At 34.4% G+C, this 19,354-nt stretch overlaps 1 protein-coding gene across 9 annotated transcripts in view; it reads left to right on the forward strand.

Annotated features, from left to right (window-relative positions):
• Window positions 1–19,354, forward strand: part of COL4A5 (collagen type IV alpha 5 chain) — a 257,708-nt gene that overhangs the window by 133,064 nt on the left and 105,290 nt on the right. For all 9 annotated transcript variants that reach the window (XM_047441810.1, NM_033380.3, NM_000495.5 and 6 more), the window contains 13 exons: window positions 673–753; window positions 3,009–3,071; window positions 5,051–5,086; window positions 5,177–5,218; window positions 5,390–5,482; window positions 7,632–7,685; window positions 7,781–7,837; window positions 8,082–8,126; window positions 9,983–10,036; window positions 11,583–11,624; window positions 13,714–13,846; window positions 18,157–18,330; window positions 18,660–18,743. In XM_047441810.1, coding sequence (XP_047297766.1) covers window positions 673–753; window positions 3,009–3,071; window positions 5,051–5,086; window positions 5,177–5,218; window positions 5,390–5,482; window positions 7,632–7,685; window positions 7,781–7,837; window positions 8,082–8,126; window positions 9,983–10,036; window positions 11,583–11,624; window positions 13,714–13,846; window positions 18,157–18,330; window positions 18,660–18,743 — 958 coding nt within the window. The remainder of the gene's footprint in view (window positions 1–672; window positions 754–3,008; window positions 3,072–5,050; window positions 5,087–5,176; window positions 5,219–5,389; window positions 5,483–7,631; window positions 7,686–7,780; window positions 7,838–8,081; window positions 8,127–9,982; window positions 10,037–11,582; window positions 11,625–13,713; window positions 13,847–18,156; window positions 18,331–18,659; window positions 18,744–19,354) is intronic.

A 19,354-nucleotide genomic window follows, 5' to 3' on the forward strand; every position in this document is an offset into this window, starting at 1 on the left:
ACTTATCCCTTAGCTCACTGACCACATCAGTCTGCATTTAGTTATTGGGATGTGCCAAACGTTTTGCTTTTAGGGTCTTTTGTATATATGGTTTACTTTGCCTAATATTCTTCCTCCTATCTTTGCCTGGATGACTCCTTATTATCCTTCAGGTCTTAACCTGAATGTTACCTTCACAGATTGCCCTTCTTTGACTACCCAAGCTAATTTTCTCCACTAGTTTTTTTTTTTCAATTATTGTACCATGTTATTTTTCTTCATAGCCCTTAATATTCACAGCCCTTGATATTGTCATCTTATATTTTTACATATTAGGGTCTGTATTTTCCCATTATATTGTTAGCTTTATGAGAACAGAGGCCTTGTTTATCTTCTCCATTACTGATTACCCAGAACCTACCACAATTGTTGGCAAATACTTAATATTTACTACATATTTTTTAATGAGTAACTGAAGGTACTACACTCTTAATAAATCTACTGTTCTTCAGTGTACTCTGGCCACTTCCTCATTTTCCTTTAAAAGGTAAACTTATCATTTTTATTACTGAGATGGCCTAATCTTTTAGTACATCTCTGTTACAAATTGAATCTTCAGATCATTTTTCTGGTTTTGCTGGTTTTCATGTATAATAACTGTGTCTTAGAACTTCCATTGATGGCTTCTTTTAGGGTGAACCAGGTAGTATAATTATGTCATCACTGCCAGGACCAAAGGGTAATCCAGGATATCCAGGTCCTCCTGGAATACAAGTAAGTATCCAGTGATTTTCTTTTTTTGCTATATTGATTAAACCAGAAGATTACAACAATCCCTCAACCTTTAGTACTCTCTGTTTTTGTCATAAAAATTATCATCAGATGTTTACTAGACATTACATGTACTTTCTACCTGAAAATAAAAGCAATCTGGACCAGGGAGAATTTTAACAACATCGGCTTCATTCTTTTGCCTTTCTATCCAGTGTTTTGGGGATTGGCAGCAGAAATAGGGTTCTATATTCTTATTCTTGTACTGTGGAGAGCAGTAGGGTCTTTTGTACATTTACAAAAGACCTAATTAAAAATAAAAATTATGGAAGTCCCATTGAATATATTAAGATATATCATTTGTAACACTATCAGTTATGCATAATATATGAACATATTTTGAAGGCTGAAGGAATACAGTTTATGCATGGTGAACATCAAATGTAATCTTAAGAAAAAAATTTTAGCCTACAGAAAACATGCATAGAGAGAGCAGTAACTTTTGAGTATAGATTAGGAGGTCAATTTCTTAGGGTTTATATTTCATGATAATCGAATCCTTTGCCAAAAATGAAAAATCAAAACTTCCTGGTAGTTTATCACTAAGATACAAGATTGGGGACTTTTTTCATTAGCTACCTTGTCATTCCTTACTTGATATCACCCATCCATAGTTTTTAAAATTCACTCAATCTTGCCCTTTATATTTTATAAATTGTTATGAAGTAATATTTGAAAATACAACAGAATACATGCAAAATATATGTATGTTATGAAGCATAACTATAAAGTGAACAACATTTAAGAGCTAGAAAATTACAAATAATTTTGAATCAACCTGTGTCCCCCTTGGTAATCAAATCCTTCTGCATTCCCCCAAGACATAGCTACCATCTGTGCCTTAAAAATAGCTTTATTATATATGCATATATTTCTAAGCAATAGAATATTTAGCTTTGCTTTATAAAATAATGTAATATTTATGTAGTTTTCTGCAACTTACTTTTTCTACTTGATATGCTAAGATTCATCCATATTATTGGATATGGCTTTAGTTCACTCTGTTTCACTTTCATATAACTTTCCATTTGTGGACATACTACCATTTGGTGTTTTTTGTTTTATGTGGTGTTTGTTGTTGTTGTTGTTGTTTTGAGATAGCATCTTGCACTCTTGCCCAGACCGGAGTGCAGTGGCATGATCATGGCTCACTGCAGTCTTAACCTCCTGGGCTTAAGCAATCCTCCCACCTCAGCTTCCTGAGTAGCTGGGACCATAGGTGCACATCACCACACCTGGCTACTTTTTGAAAATTTTCGTGGAGACAAGTTCTCACCATGTTGCCAAGGCTGGTCTCAAACATCTGAGCTCAAGTGATCCTCCTGCTTAGGCCTCCAAAAGTATGAGGATTACAGGTGTAAGCCTCTGTGCCCAGCCTACAATTTTTTCATTACAAAAAAAAATCCATGATTTATATCTAAGTATAGAATTGCTAGATTGTAGGCCAAATTTTCAGTTTTTAACATGCCAAATTATTCCATAACACTTGTATCATTCTCTTATAATTTATCCCAGTTCCTCTCATTTCCCTCTGTCTTTAATCTTATCTATTTTAAAATTAGAGAAGCTATCTTGAAAGTAGTAGCCTTTCCCTTCTCATTGGTAGCATAAAAGCCCTAACTAAATGCATACCTTTATCACTTTGTTTTGTAAATTTTCCTTATTATTTGTCTTATGTTTATTTACCACTTTAAACCACAAGTTTTCTTATAATTACTTAATCCTTTTATCCCTTTGCATTTTAAAATTTCACTTATAATATTGCTGAATGATAAAATTGTAGAGCAGAATTCCAATGACGACTGAAGTTTAAATGAAGTCTAAATTTCATCCATTTAGTTCTTTGTAAGATACAATTAGGGGGCCGGGCACAGTGGCTCACGCCTGTAATCCTGGCACTTTGGGAGGCCAAGTCATGAGATCAAGACCAGCCTGGCCAACATGGTGAAACCCCGTCTCTACTAAAAATACGATAATTAGCCGGACCTGGTGGCAGGTGCCTGTAATCTCAGCTACTCAGGAGGCTGAGGCAGGAGAATTGCTTGAACCCAGGAGGCGGAGGTCGCAGTGAGTTGAGATCATGCCATTGCACTCCAGCCTGGGCGACACAAGTGAGACTTTGTGTAAAAAAAGAAAAAATACAATAAGGGGCTTGTTTTTCTTTTTTTTCATCATTTTCTTTACTCACTTTATAACAGGGCCTACCTGGTCCCACTGGTATACCAGGGCCAATTGGTCCCCCAGGACCACCAGGTTTGATGGTAAGCTCTCTTCTTTAATTTAATTTCCCCCCCTTTCCTTTCTGACTTCTTTCAGGAATATTAATATTATTTATAATACTTGAAAACATAATGCATTCTCAACATTCATAATTTATAATTTTCTTATGTAAAGGTGACTTTACAATGATATGGTGAATAATATGCATTCTAAGTAATGGCTCCATTTTATAGATGGAAAAATGAGGTATATAAAAGGAAAGATTTACAATGAAATATTTTGTTGGTTGCTCTTGATGTATCAGTGTTGAAGTCAATTCTGGCCATTTCAGAAAGTCTTTTAAGGCAGTTTTCTAATCACTTGATGAAACATGTTTCTTCAAACTGCAATTGTTTGTTTAAGAAGAGCAAAAGCAGGGCTTCATAAAAAATATTGGCTCTCATTTCCTAGGCGCCTGGGACAAAACAGTAGAATTGGTGAGGGGAGTGATCACTATGCAATTGGTCACAGGTTTTTGTACCCCAAAAACTTCTACAGATCCTGAATGTGCAACCGGTTCTCTTACTTTACTAGCTCTGTAGTCACTCTTATTTTCTATCCTAGTAAATTCTAAGTATTTTTACTTCTGCAATACTTAGATTTCATTCAAGTCATGTTTTGGACTTACAGCTTTGCTGTTGCCCTCTTAAAAGGGCAAGAAAATTGTATTTCAGTAGAAGTAATTTCTCATGTGCCACTCTATCTCTCATCTACCATATATTTAAGTGACAGTTTTCATTATACCTTTATAGGTTGTACATTTTTGTTTGTGACAATTGGTCCTGCACTTTTGAGTGAAGGAAATAATGTTTGATAACTGCTAGAAGAATCTACCAGAAAAGATTGTGATTTCTGCTTTCCTGTAACTTTTTGGGGGAAGATGAGAAAACCCTTTTGTTTGTTTTAGTTGTAGACTTCATGCAAAGCATGAAACTATGGACTTTCGCACTTTTTCCTAATTCTGCTGTTGGAACATTGGTGCCCCTTGAGTATATTGTTACACCTTGAATTTCCTCAACCATTGTGGCCACTTAACCGATTCACTTTACGTTTCTGGATATTCCTTGAATTAACGCTAATTCAACAGGTGAAGCCAAATCTTAGAAATGCCACCAAGAGGCCAGGTGCTGTGGCTCATGCCTGTAATCCCGGCACTTTGGGAGGCTAAGGTGGGTGGATCACCTGAGGTTGGGAGTTTGAGATCAGCCTGACCAATATGGAGAAACCCCATCTCTACTAAAAATACAAAAAATTAGCCAGGCATGATGGCACATGCCTGTAATCCCAGCTACTCGGGAGGCTGAGACAGGAAAATCGCTTGAACCCAGGAGGCGGAGGTTGTGGTGAGCCGAGATCGTTCCATTGCACTCCAGCCTGGGCAACAAGAGGGAAACTCCTTCTCAAAAAAAAAAAAAAAAAAAAGAAAGAAAGAAAGAAAGAAATGCCACCAAGATACAATATATAAATAAATAGGCCCATTGAGGTTAAGAGGCAACATACTTGAGCAGAAAGGTGCCTATTTAATTTTTTAAACCTTGAAACATTCTCAGATACACAAAGTCATATTGTATAAAAATCAAACTGGATTTTAAAAAATAAACACATGCTTTTTAGAACTTGAGAGTTAATTAGAGTTAATTGCTTTATGGTACCTAAGTTTACCTATAATTCTGATGTGAAAAATTTGATGGGTCTGTTGAGATTAACTTTTGAATTGATTTTTGACAATGGGGCTACCTCTCTACCTCTGCCCATCCCAGCTTTTTTCTCTTGCCCATTTCTATTTTGTCATCAGAGGTACTCACATTCATCTAGCTCATTTTAATCAATTAAAATGTGTGTCTCTGACTAAAATGAAAACAAACAAGAAAATACTATTTTGATGGGCTTTTTCACACCTTACTCTTTCTGAAACTAAATAACTTTTAAAATTAACTTATTAATATAACATTTTATTTTCTCTTTTGTCTTCTCTTCTTAGGGCCCTCCTGGTCCACCAGGACTTCCAGGACCTAAGGTAATTTTCTTTTTCTTTATATCTTTTATTTGGTGTGGATTCCTTTTCTTACTGTCAGTGAGATTTTTAAATGGAAACTTCTCTCTCCAGGGGAATATGGGCTTAAATTTCCAGGGACCCAAAGGTGAAAAAGTGAGTAAAGAAAGAGAGCTGGTTATTCAGCCCTCAGCTTTCTCTTTTTGTAGTCATTTGAACTGTCTTTTTCTTTCTCTTGCTTCTTGAAGTTATCTTATCTTACATGTTATATTACTGTCTGTGGAGATTATGAAGTATCACCACTGTCTTATTTTATCTTGCAAACAGGGTGAGCAAGGTCTTCAGGGCCCACCTGGGCCACCTGGGCAGATCAGTGAACAGAAAAGACCAATTGATGTAGAGTTTCAGAAAGGAGATCAGGTGAGTAAGTAGGGAGGAAGTCAATGAAAATCTTGCTATGGATATGTTAATTAGTTTGATGGTGGTAATCACATCACAATGTATATGTATATCAAAACATCACATTGTTTACACCTTAGATATATACAGTTTTTAATTTGTCAGTTATACCTCAATAAAGCTGAAAAAAATAAAATGATAAAAAGTTAAAAATAATATTTCTATGTAAGTGGAATTCCATTAAAATGCATTATAAGCTGAAATGTGGTTATATATAAGGGTATTTTTTTTTAAATAACAAGGATTTGAGATTATTAATTTTTTTTTTTTTTTTGAGACTAAGTCTTGCTCTTGTCACCCAGGCTGGAGTGCAATGGCATGATCTTGGCTCACTGCAACCTCCGCCTCCCAGGTTCAAGCGATTCTCCTGCCTCAGCTTCCCAAGTAGCTGGGATTACAGGTGCCCACCACCACACCCTGCTAATTATTGTATTTTTAGTAGAGACGGGGTTTCACCATGTTGGCCAGACTGGTCTCGAACTCCTGACCTCGTGATCTGCCCGCCTCGGCCTCCCAAAGTGTTGGGATTTCAGGCATAAGCCACCATGCCTGGCCAAGATCATTAAATTTTCAAAATAACTTTATCAAGATACAGTCTACATACATATAATCCACCCATTTAAAGTGTACAATTCAATTTTTTTTTTAGTGCATTCACAGGGTAGTGAAACTATCAGTGCAATCTAACTTTAGAAAATTCTGAGGCTTCCTCAAAAAAATCTCCATACCTATGTTAGTTGTACTCCTTATTTCTCCCCAAATTGACCAGCCCTAGGTAATCACTAATCTACTTCTTGGCTCTGTAAATTTTTCTATTCTGAATATTTCATATAAATGGAATCATACAATATGTGGTCTTCTGTGTCTGGCTTCTTTTACTTAGCATAGTGTTTTCATGTTAAATCACTTTGCAGCACATATCAGTGCTTCATTCCTTTTTATGGCTGAATAATATTTCATTGTGTAAATAGTCTACATTTTGTTTATCCATTTATTCATCAGTTGATGGGCATTTGGGTTATTTCCATTTTTGGCTATTTGAAGAATCCATTCATGTATAAAATTAGGTTATGGTAAGTCAGAATGATGACAGTGTTCCCTACATTTCACTGATATGCAAGGAGAAAGATAATGTTACTCTATAAACCTTTGTTGTGTTTAGAAATAATTATCTGATACCCTGCTTTTGCTAGAGTAGATGAGGGAAATTAGATATATTTTTAAAGCATACTGGCCCACACTTTAACAAACAGAATGTGTGCATTTTTGTTTCACTTAAATGTGAATAAGAAAGTTAAGAATAAAGGAAAAGTTGTATTGAAACTCTATCATCAATATGAATTTGGCCATTTAATTATCTCCCAAAATATATGTATGCCGTGTGACCCCAAAATCTCTTTGTTTTAGGTATTCTTGCTTTTTATAAAATATTTTATAAGAATAAAAAATTGTCATTATTTTCATTTTAAGTGTTGCCTTGTTATTTACCTCAAATCTTGGCTTGTATATAGACAAAAAATTAACTGAAATGAGCAAAGATAGCTCTAGTTAATTTTGCCTAGAAGATTTCAACTTTAAGTTAGAAACACCCTATTATCTTTGGTTGTACTACATGAGTATTCAGTTCAGTTTAATTTTTTTAGGGGGAGATTTATTTTTATTTTATTTTATTATTTAAAAAAGTCAACCTTTATTTTAGATACAGGGGGTACATGTACAGGTTTGTCACATAGGTATATTGTGTGATGCTGAGGTTTGGGGTACAGATCCCATCAGCCAGGTAGTGAACATAGTACTCAGAAGTTAGTTTTACAAGTATTACCTGCCTCCCTCTACTCTTAGTAGTCCCCAGTGTCTATTGTTGCCATCTTTATGTCCTTGTGTCCCCAATGTTTAGTTCTCAGTTATAAGTGAGAACATGTGGTATTTGATTTTTTGTTCATGCATTAATTCACTTAGGATTATAGCCTCCAGCTCTAACCATGTTGCTCCAACATAGATGTAGCTGTGGTTCAGTTTATTAAAAATGCTCCTAGCTAGCTCTAGTGCTTAGAATGAAAATGCATGTTCCAGTATTAACATTGATTTCCTTTCCCCTACTACTGCATAGGGACTTCCTGGTGACCGAGGGCCTCCTGGACCTCCAGGGATACGTGGTCCTCCAGTAAGTACCTAAAGTGCTTTAGCATCATTTAATGTAAATTGGTATTGGTACACAGTATCCCATGAACCATTGTGAAACTATTTTTATGTGTACAGGGTCCCCCAGGTGGTGAGAAAGGTGAGAAGGGTGAGCAAGGAGAGCCAGGCAAAAGAGTAAGTGATGTAACTGCTAATATTCTTTGCAAAAAAATTCTAAATGTGTGTGTGTGTGATTTTATTCTTTCTTCCTACATCTTCCATTGTTTCAAAATATCACTACTGACATTATAATGTTGATGTCTAAAAAGTCTACTTAATATAGTCCAAGCCAGGAATAAAGCTTGTTATATTCTTTAACTTTATGCTTCCTAACTAACAAATGTATGTTGTTGCCCTATCATTTCTTTGTATCCTATAGGGTAAACCAGGCAAAGATGGAGAAAATGGCCAACCAGGAATTCCTGTAAGTAGCTAAGGTTCTTTCCCCCTGCAAAACTGGAGACATTTATGTGTTGGTATAACATAAGGTGGCAGAGAAGCAGTATGACAAAAATTGTGGGGTCTGGAAATAGTTTAAATGAATTGAAATTATCCAGTCTTTGTCTTTTGAATATAATTTTCAATTTTTAAAAAATTTTGTGAGTACATAGTAGGTGTATATATTTATTTATGAGGTACATGAGATGTTTTGATACATGTATGTAATGTGAAATAAGGACATCACAGAGAATGGGGTATTCATCCCCTCAAGCATTTATCCTTTGCATTACAAACAATCCAGTTACACCAAATATAAATTTGAGGTTCCTCTATTTTTTAAAGTCAGATTTATTGAGATATAATTTACATAAAGTAAAAGGAACTATTTTTAGTTTACAGTTCTGTGTTTGACAAACACATACAGTTGTGTCACCACCACCATAATCAAGAACACTTCCATCACCTTCAAAAGTTCCCTCATGCTCTTTTTTAGTTATCCCCTCCCTATTCCCCTATCCCAACCCCCTTATAACGACTGATCTTTTGTCAATCTCTTTAATTTTGCCTATTCCCAAATGTCAGATACATTGGATCATATTGTATGTAGCCTTTCGAATCAGGATCCTTTCACATAACATAATACATTGAATTGTGTATCAGTTCATTTTTTTATTGCTGAGTAGTATTTGATAGTTTGAATATACCATGGTTTGTTTGTCCATTTACACATTGAAGGATATTTTGGTTATTTCTGTGTTTTGGCCATTATGAATAAAACTTTTATATTCATATAAAAATATTTATATGAATATAAATATTCCCATACAGTTTTTTTGTGTGTGTGTGAACATGTTTTTTCAGTAAAAGTTTTGACAGGTAATTCTTCTACTTACTACCAAAAAGGGGCATGGGAAATAAAATATGTAAGTCCAAGAACATTATTTCAAGCAGCTTCAGTATCAAGAGTATCCGCAGTAGGCAAGAGTTTTTCAAAGACAGAGAGAATATTTGATGAAATTTGTAAGTTATTCTAAGGGAAAAGGATAATTCTTAACAAGACAGGTTAGAATTACTAAATTCAGATAAATTGGTTTCAGGATATTTTACTAAACAGGCAATCCTCAACTTACAATCTCTAGTTCAAAAATATTTTATATTATAAAATATCAAGAGGTAAATTCAGGGCCTCAGTTCCTGGCTTCTTTTGGAACAATTGGTCTTTGTCTTGATTCAGGCAGCTGTGATATTCAACAATTGCCTCTTAGTGTTTTCAACAAATTGGGGTTGCGGGGTGGGGAGGCTGTTCTCTTGTTCTCTGTTTGCACTGGGAGAACCCAAGTTGGGTCAAATAAAGGCAGCCTTGCAAATAGCCTTCTTTTGAACCAGCAGACAGATCAAATAATGATAATTCTCTGGATATGGGGCTTTGAAGGAGCTCCAACCCTGTTCTTTCCTCTCCAATTGCTGCTAGGCTGCTGGTTTTCACCTTGATTGTGAGGAGAGGTGGTGTGAATAGAGCAAGTTAAAATGCCACAAAGCTCTGAGAGGTGGTGGGAATAGAGCAAGTTAAAATGCCATAAATCTCTGAGAGGTGGTAGGAATAGAGCAAGTTAAAATGCCACAAAGCTCTGAGTTCTCACCAAGATTCAGCTTTTTTTTTTTTTTTTTTTCTGAGAAAACACTCCTTGAATTGCTGCAAGCTTTGGTTAAGTTCTGAAAGTTAATTCTGACTGACCATTTTTGCCAGTATTCTCATTGCTTCTATGGAGAAGACAATCTTTGGAGATTTCCTAACACCATCATTTGTGCTGATGTCACCCTATCCTCTATGTTTTAAAGGGTTTGCCTGGTGATCCTGGTTACCCTGGTGAACCCGGAAGGGATGGTGAAAAGGTAAGAATTTTAATACTTTGAAGTGACTGGTTTAGTCTAGCTAAAATAATCCTTTTCTTCTCCCAGGCTTGAGTTATAAATGGAAAAAGTCTACATAACTAGCTTTTATATTCAAAATATGCCTTCTTTATTCATCTTTTGCTCATTTTTCTTTTATACCACACTTGCTAAATTTTATTCCATTGCCATAAATCACAGTCCATGTTGCAGAAATACATTAAGCATTGTTTAACTTTAGCATTTCCACTGTGAAAAGTCATTGCCTTTACTTTGAGCATGTATCGGCAAAACTTCTTTTTTTCCACAAAGAGAATTCAGCACTATTTTAGTGAGGTCCTCTTACTAAAAAGGCTTATAACTGTGAATGTAGAACGTCGCCACTAAACATTTCCATTCTGTATGCAATTATTGTCTGTAAGTCTGTGGCTAATTCTTTGTTGTTTTTTCCCCCCTACTGGGCCAATGCAGTCTGACTGAGGTCATTTATTTAGTTACCTATTTTTCAAGTGACTTTGAAAGATTGTATGAAGCATACAATTACCAGATTTTTAGCAGGGCACAAAATAACCAGTCCTCCAATCCCTCTTGTTTTTAATTGCTTCGTATCAAAAACTGAAAGCTTTTTGGTTTTTCAGGCAAGGAAGGAAAGGCGTTACAAACTTGAATGTACCCAGAAGGCACATATTTTAATGGTGGTTTATTTTTAAATTAGGTCCAAGTTCTAGCATGGCTTAAAAGGCACAATTAGAATAGATGGAGGTAGGAAATACTCCGATAAAATGATTTTTTGTCAAATAGTATTTGTATATAGATGGATGGCTTCTATGAACAAGTTTAGAGTCAGAATAGAAGTATGAAAAAGACCATCCTTGTGTCTTGGCCAGTAGTAGAGTAACACTTGAATATTGAATATTGTGGTTTTTTTCATGCTGTTGTAGCTACTAATCAAGGATAAAAGTTTTATCTGAACTTGTCTTTCATTAGCTTCTAAGAGCAAGCTCATGAAAGCAATTCAGATTTACTAGCTATTATTGATGATAGTTAAGTCCATCACATCTAAAATGTCTGTCACTAATAGAAATGGCACTACATTTATGTCCTTGACTAGTTTTATGAGAAGAAACATGGCTAAATGTAAAAAAAAAAAAAAAAAAAAAAGTAATTTTTTCACTGATTCTAGTGCTACCATTTTTTTTCTATTATCTTCTTTATAGAGTATTTGTAGTTGGCTAGAAATAGGAATCTTAAAAATCAAAGAATATTACAACTAGAAATACCTTAAAACTCTGGTCCAAAAATCTTTATTCTTTCTATATAAACCAGAGAAGTTAATTAACTTGGTGAAGATTACATAGCTAGTAAATCTGAGACACCATCACAGGTTAGGCTTAGCTCAGAATTGTTTCATTACTTCATGTTGCATTTCTCATTTGAGGTATTTTATGATTGATTTCTGGGTCTTTTTGGAAAGTTTCTCTTATATTCTTGAGGAAATTGATGTTTTCATGTGAATTTTACTAACCTATTTTACAATTGCATTGAACAGGGCCAAAAAGGTGACACTGGCCCACCTGGACCTCCTGGACTTGTAAGTTTTTTTTTTTTAGTCTTCGTTTATCAAATTTATTAATGCATTATCATTTTTGTGCCTTAATCGCATACTCCCTACTTTTTCTTGATAGAACACAAAATTTCAAGTCATTATCAATTTCTACTGGCTTAAAAGTCTTTACATCTAAAATCTTCAGTAATGTTGACCTCAAGGTCTTTGTATTGTTCTGCCTATGCATTACTTCTGCATGGTAAAGGTCTAAAATTATGGCATTGGGTTGTTTTGCCTCATGATTGCCAGATCATTTCTCAAGCAACCAGCAGGTGGTGCAAGTGTTGCTTACAAAGGTTCAATGAAAACAACAACAACAAAACAAAACTTGGGGAAGTTGGGGTGGGGGTGGGGGATTGGTCCTTTCCCCTGCAGAGCTCAGGAGAAAGATAGATTTGGTCTTAATAGGTTTTCTCAATTTGTAATTGTCTGATTCACACTTCTTTCTTTCCTGAGTGTGTGCTTTCTAGGGACTTTTAATAACGCATGTAGGAAGCTGCTTTATGAAAGAATAATTGAGGGTGGCGGAGCTACAGATTTTCTGTCATGTTTGTGTTCACTATGAAATTTAAGTCAAATATACTTCCAGTCTTATTAGGAATAAAATATCATTGCTGAGGTTTAACATATTGGTTTTTCTTTGGTTGAAATTTAGTAAGACTCTTGACTTCAAACTGCATTGAAGCCGCAACAGTGCGAATGTTGGAAAACTTATGTGTCCAGACATGTTAGTAACATTAACTTAATTCGTATTATCCATAATGAGTCTCAGTTATTAATACTTAGGACTGTACTAAATCTAATGAGGATATACTTAAAGAAGATCTTAGATATTTTTTATTCACTTTCATTTTAAAATCAGCTTCAGTCCTCTAGGAAATAATCTCTTTATAAAATGAGAAGATAAAATTTTAATAAGTATCAGAAGAAATGGAAATTTTGAGAGTACAGTCCTATTTAGCAGCCTAGTTTCCCTTTTGAATCACTATTCCAATCTTAGGTCCCACAACTTTTTGTCTTCTTTTGTGTGAATATTTCTTATATCCATCCAATAGAGACAGGATGAAATATCACACTGCTATTAGGTGTTGATTTGTACATCAGACTGGCAGTCTCTTAAATCTGAAGTTCATTTACCTTTATAGGTCTATAAGAAGAATTTGTTAATATTTAATTTATTTAATATTAAGTTTTTTAAGAAAATACTTAATGAGTTACAAGAATACAGAGTAAAAAGAAATGATTAGTTAGTTGGGTTTAATCAATAAAGAACATGGGTTTTATTTTTAAATTTTTTTGGTATATAGTAGGTATATATATTTATGGGGGAGTTTTCTTTTTTAAAGGAAGAAATAAATGTGGGTTAATAAAGAGAAAGATTGGGGAAAGGCATTACACATGTTTGGAATGAAATATGCAAAGACATAGACAAGAACGTGCAAGTTGAATGAAATGGTTAGAATCAGACAGACTTCACTATAATAAAAATTTATTGTAAGACGTAGTAGGAGATTAAATAGGTGAGAGAAGTATTGGAAGTGAGAGGTGACTTACAGTTCAGGATTAAAAGTAGCAGCACTTATAGTAAAAAGTAGTGAGCAATTTTGAGTCCTTAAGCAGAATAGTTAACACACACACACAAATGGTTTTTGAGGAAGCATATCCTAACAATAGATTGGAATTCAAGGGACAAGATCAGAGGTGCTTCTATTACTCTAAGTGTGAGTTGATAATATAGCTGTGGCAGCAGAAATCAAGGGAGCAAATTGGAGAGACGTTTTCTGTAAAGAATTGTCAGGCTTAGGAGATTGGAATGAATTGAATGTGAATTATAGGAGAAGAGACATCAAAAATACTTTTAGTTTTATATGCTTCGGGCTCAGGAACATGGTAATGTTGTTACTTGTATTGGACATTTTCTAATCAGTTGGAGGATGGGAGTGATACAAAATGTGACTCATAAACTATGTGAAAATGATGACATTGTAATCATATGTAGCTCCCATAATGTTTTCAGGAGAACAAGGCTTTTCTTCTTTGCATTTCTTTATTTTTTTTTTCTTTGGTAATAAAGGTAATTCCTAGACCTGGGACTGGTATAACTATAGGAGAAAAAGGAAACATTGGGTTGCCTGGGTTGCCTGGAGAAAAAGGAGAGCGAGGATTTCCTGGAATACAGGGTCCACCTGGCCTTCCTGGACCTCCAGGTAAATGAGATTGCATTTATGGCCTTGTTCTTATAGCATCCTTACTAATCCATGTATACTTTTTATCACATTAGTTCCATGGTCAGCATGGAAGTAGGAGACACAAGTCCTTTTTAATTGACAGATACTTCCCAACTCTTACTATACCTTCTCTCACCATATTACTCACTTGTACTTTAAAAAAGCCCAAGTGAATAGTGTCCTTTAATCCTAAGATTCCTATTTCTACATTTTATTTTTTATTGATACATAATTGTACATATTTATGGGATACATGTGATATTTTAATACATGAGTCCAATGTATAATGATTAAATCAAGGTAACTAGAATATCCATTACCTCAAGTATTTATCTTTTCTTTATGTTGGGAACATTCAAAATCTTCTCTTCTAGCTGTTTTGAAATATACAGTAAGTTGTTGTTAACTGCTGTGAATCTACTGTGCTACCAAACACTGAAACTTATTGCTTCTATCTAACTGTATGTTTGTACCCATTAACCAACCTTTCTTCATTTCCCCCGACCCTTCCCAGCCCCTGGTAACCATCATTCTACTCTCCACCTCCATGAGATCAACTTTTTTTTTTTAACCTCCTACGTAAGAATGAGAACATGCATTTGTATTTGCCTTTCTGTGCCTGGTTTATTTCACTTAACGTAATGTCCTTCAGGCTCATCCATGTTGCTGCAAATGATAGAACTCCGTTCTTTTATGGCCAAATAATATTCCATTGTGTATTTATACCACATTTCCTTTATCTGTTCATCCACTGATGAACATTCAGGTTGATTTCATATCTTGGCTATTGTGAATATTGCTACAATAAACATGGAAGTGCAGATATCTCTTTGAATTACTAATTTATTTTCTTTTGAATATATACCCAGACGTGAGATTGTTGGAACATATGGTAGTTCTATTTTTAGTTTTTTGAAGAACCTCCATACTTTTTTTCATAATGGTTGCATTAATTTACATTCCCACCAACAGTGTGTGAGAGTTCCCTCTTCTCTGCATCCTTGCAGCATCTGTTATTTTTTGTCTTTTTGATGATAGCCATATTAACTGGGGTATATTTTATTATTAATAAATTACACCAAACAATTCTTAATTTAGTAGGCAAATCATCACACTTTTCATGCTAATAGGGAAGGATATTCTCCCCAAGTAATGCCTAGTTTTGCAAGATTTCCTGTATAAAAATGGCAAGCAGCGTTATCCACCTAAAATTTCAGAAATACCTAACTAGAAATCCCCATGGTGATTTTGTTATACAATAAAATCTTAGAGCTCAATACTGAGTTTTATATTATTCCCTTTGAAAACACACAGTATAGTGGAACATTTCTAATTTGGCCACAAATTGAGTACTGCCCTTATCTAGAATGTTTATTTGAATGTTCTCTGAAATAGGGTAATAATAGTGATTTCCGTAAGATTTCTAGATGCATGTGGTACAGTGCCTGGCACACATACATATTCAATAAATTATTATTCCTTTTCCTTCAAAAATACGTGGCTAATGAAATACTAAAATGATGAGATGAGTGATATTCAGTGATCTTTCCCAAGAGAAAGAAAATAAATATAGGTTCCATTATGCTCTAAATGCAAACTTCAGATTCCTAAATGTGAACTTCAGATTCCTAACCTCAAGATAGTGAATTAAATACAGACTGTATCTGGAAAATTGAAATAAAGAATTATCTCAGGATGCAGTAAAAGAGATAAGGAGTTGGGAAGTATGAATGAAAAGTTAAGAGGTATGAAAGATAAACCTAGAAGCTCCAAAATTATCTCATGAGGGAGGTCAAGGAGGAGAGAATGGGACAAGAGGCAGCATTTGAAAAAAAATAATGGCTGAGAACTTCCATCTATTAAAAAACACATGCATCACTATGAAAAAGCTCATGAAGCACTAAGCAATAGTAAAATAATAGTAATGCAAAGGTCCATAACTAGACACATTGTAGGGACATTTCAGAATTCAGGGATAAAAAGAAGCTCTTAAAAACTATTTGAGAACAAAAGGCCAATCACCTACAAAGCAGTGAGTCAGAGGATGATAATGGAGCACATTTTCAAAGTGATAAGGACAAATTACTATGAATTAGGGATTCTGTATTACATTAAACTATCATCCTAATGTGAAGATGAGATACATAGGAAGTTTAACACCTTCAGACTGTCTCTGAAATAGTTACTGGAGGTTTTACTCCAAAAAGAAAAAAGGGAATTCTGGATAAAATGAGAATAGCGGTAGGATGCAAGAACCAAAGCTTAGAAAATATATTAGTAAAGCATATTAAGTCTAAATCAGTACTGGTTATTTTTTAAAAAGGTGTTTTAAGTAACAACTTGGAGCTATAATTGTAAACATTATTAACGTGATGTGTAGATGCAGAGAGAATAAGGATAAGAGTTTTTGTCTTGTTAGGGAAAGATAATATAAATCTTGTTAACTGTATAAATTTTTAGAAATGTATACATGTTTAAGTACATAGGTTAAAATGTTAATAGTAGCCACTAGAGAAGAATAGAAATAAAATGTATAACATACACACCAATTGAAGAAAGAAAATGACTAAAAGTCTCATATATAGTATAAGTTAAGATGGGGGCAAAATAAAGACAAATCTGGGTAAATAGAAAATAAAATATAAGGTGACAAGAAGAAATTAAAAATAAGTCAGTAACTCCAACAAATTTGAAAGGACTAAACACTGATTAAAAGACAGTGACTAAAATAAAATTGAAATTAAAAATACCTATATATAGTGCACAGTAGACATATCTAAAGCAAAGTGACAGATACAATCTGAAAATAATGCAGTATATATTGGGCAAATGCTATACATAAAAAAGCTGGTTTAGCAATTCTAATATAGTATGAAATATAATTAAATTCAAAACTTGAAACTATAAAAATTCTAGAAGAAAATGCAGGAAAAACTTTTCTGGACATTGACCTAGGTAAAGATTTATGACTAAGACTTCAAAAGTAAATGTAACCAAAACAACAATAGACAATTGGGACTTAATTAAACTAAAGAGCTTCTGCACAGCAAAAGAAACAATCAGTGGAGTAAATAGCCTACAGAATGGGTGAAAATAATTGTAAACTGTGCATCTGGCAAAGGACTAATATCCAGAATCTATTAATATAAGGAACTTAGACAAATCAATAAGAGAAAAAAATAACCCCATTAAAAACTGGGCAAAAGACATGAACAGAACACTTCTTAAAATAAGACATATATGTGGCCAACAAACATGAAAAAATGCTTAACATCACTAATCAGCAAATAAATGCAAAGTAAAACCACAATGAGATACTAACACATTAGAATGGCTATTATTAAAAAGTCATAAAATAACAGATTTGGGCAAGAAATAATTTCAGTTATTCAGAGACCATCTGATTATCTACCAGAAAGCTTTAAAAAATCCATTGACAAATTCCCAGAACTTAAAGAGAATATGTGTGCAAGATGGCCAGATCTGAGTAGCATACTTAATTTGCCTTCCTCTTCACCAGCAAACGTACAAGAGAAAAAAATACACTTCACAATAGTAATAGTATTAAAATTCACAGTAGAATAACCCCAACAATACATGTGTAAGACTTCTTTGCAGAATTTTGTAAATTATTATTAAATAATATAAAATTACTAAATAGAGAAATAAATTTAATTATTACTTGATGTGAAAAACCAATATAATAAACAGTTGATTCTACCAAAAAATAATCTTTAACTTCAAATTAATCCCATTCAGAATCCCAACCAGTTTTTGAAAATGAAACTGAAAAATTTATTTAGAAAAGTAAATTTGTAGATGGTTTTAAAAATGAACAAAGATGAGCGTATTTTCCTTAGCAGTTTTGAAAACATTATAAAGTCATAGTAACTAAAAAGTGTGTTAATGGTGCATGAATCACCAGTGTAACAGAAGAATGTCCGGAAACAGAGCCATGTTTATATGGTAACTTTGAAATACCTTTTTATCTTGCTAATGACTTTCCGGTATTTTTGAGATTATAAGAACAGATTGTCAAAGGATGGGGTTACTAGTAATTTCCAAAAGTAGTAAACCTACTTTAAATTATTATTTCCTACCCTCAAACTGTTACTTACATTCTTTGAAACTTTTCAACCTTTTTTTCAGACTTTTGAGTCTCATAGAAAAAAAATAACATAACCAGAATTATATGTTAAAGGAAGATCTTATCATTATCTAATGTCTCAATGAGAACTAAAGTAACATCTCTAAGATGAAATCATTTTGATCACTTTTTTGAATCTTAGGGGCTGCAGTTATGGGTCCTCCTGGCCCTCCTGGATTTCCTGGAGAAAGGGGTCAGAAAGGTGATGAAGGACCACCTGGAATTTCCATTCCTGGACCTCCTGGACTTGACGGACAGCCTGGGGCTCCTGGGCTTCCAGGGCCTCCTGGCCCTGCTGGCCCTCACATTCCTCCTAGTAAGCTATATTTTTCTCCTATTAAGTTCTATTTTTGTTTTTGTTTATTTTGTTTATAAGTAACTCTAGCTAAAGGTTGGCCTCATTTGTTGCGTTTCTGATATCTAAGAAATTCTACCACTGCTTCTGCTTTTTGGGTTTTGGTAGTTCTTGGATGTTTACATTTGCTCTTCATATAGTATTTATCAGCAATGTTATATTTTCCTTTTGCTTATAGGTACTTTTATTTCTTCAGAGAATAGGTCTTTTTCTGGCTTGTCAGGCTTTCTTTTGTTTAATCTTCTGGATATTTCACAATTAGCTTGCTATCCTTTCTTTATCTTACTCAGGTGATGAGATATGTGAACCAGGCCCTCCAGGCCCCCCAGGATCTCCAGGTGATAAAGGACTCCAAGGAGAACAAGGAGTGAAAGGTTTGATCTCCAAACATATTCATTCCTTCATTTTCTTCATTCTTTCAAATCATCAGCAAAATCCCCTGTATCCTCCATCACACCTTAGCCACTGACTCCCATGGTCATACCCCAAGACCATCTCATTACCAATAGTGTTATACTTACATGACCTTGGTTTCATGCATCCCATTTTTTGGATCGCTCTCTTCTTTCTAGCTTACTACCTCTAGTAACCTGACTCCAGCAATACTCCAACCCCACTGAGACCTAGCAACTTTGACTAATGCTTAACTTTTTGATGTCCTTTCTTCCCTCTTAACCTTGCTTAAGTTCCATTATCAATCACTGTAATCAATTCCATTCATAAATCCATGATTCCTTTGCCCTTCTCTCACTTCATTGCACTCACTTGGAACAAAAGCATAATCCAAATTTTCATGTTTTCTGAGCCTACACTTTCTCTTCTCTTTTCAAGTTTTAACAGTTCCTCCCCTATTCTTACCTTGCTTCCTACTTCACTGACCAATTAAAGCAATAACAAGAGAACTTTCACTGATTGCTACCACCATATTTACTTACCTACTTGCACCTGTGCCCATATAGTCTCCCTTCTTGCATATTACTGTTAC

This window comes from Homo sapiens, chromosome X (genome assembly GCF_000001405.40).
Source record: "Homo sapiens chromosome X, GRCh38.p14 Primary Assembly".
NCBI classification, from domain to species: domain Eukaryota; kingdom Metazoa; phylum Chordata; class Mammalia; order Primates; family Hominidae; genus Homo; species Homo sapiens.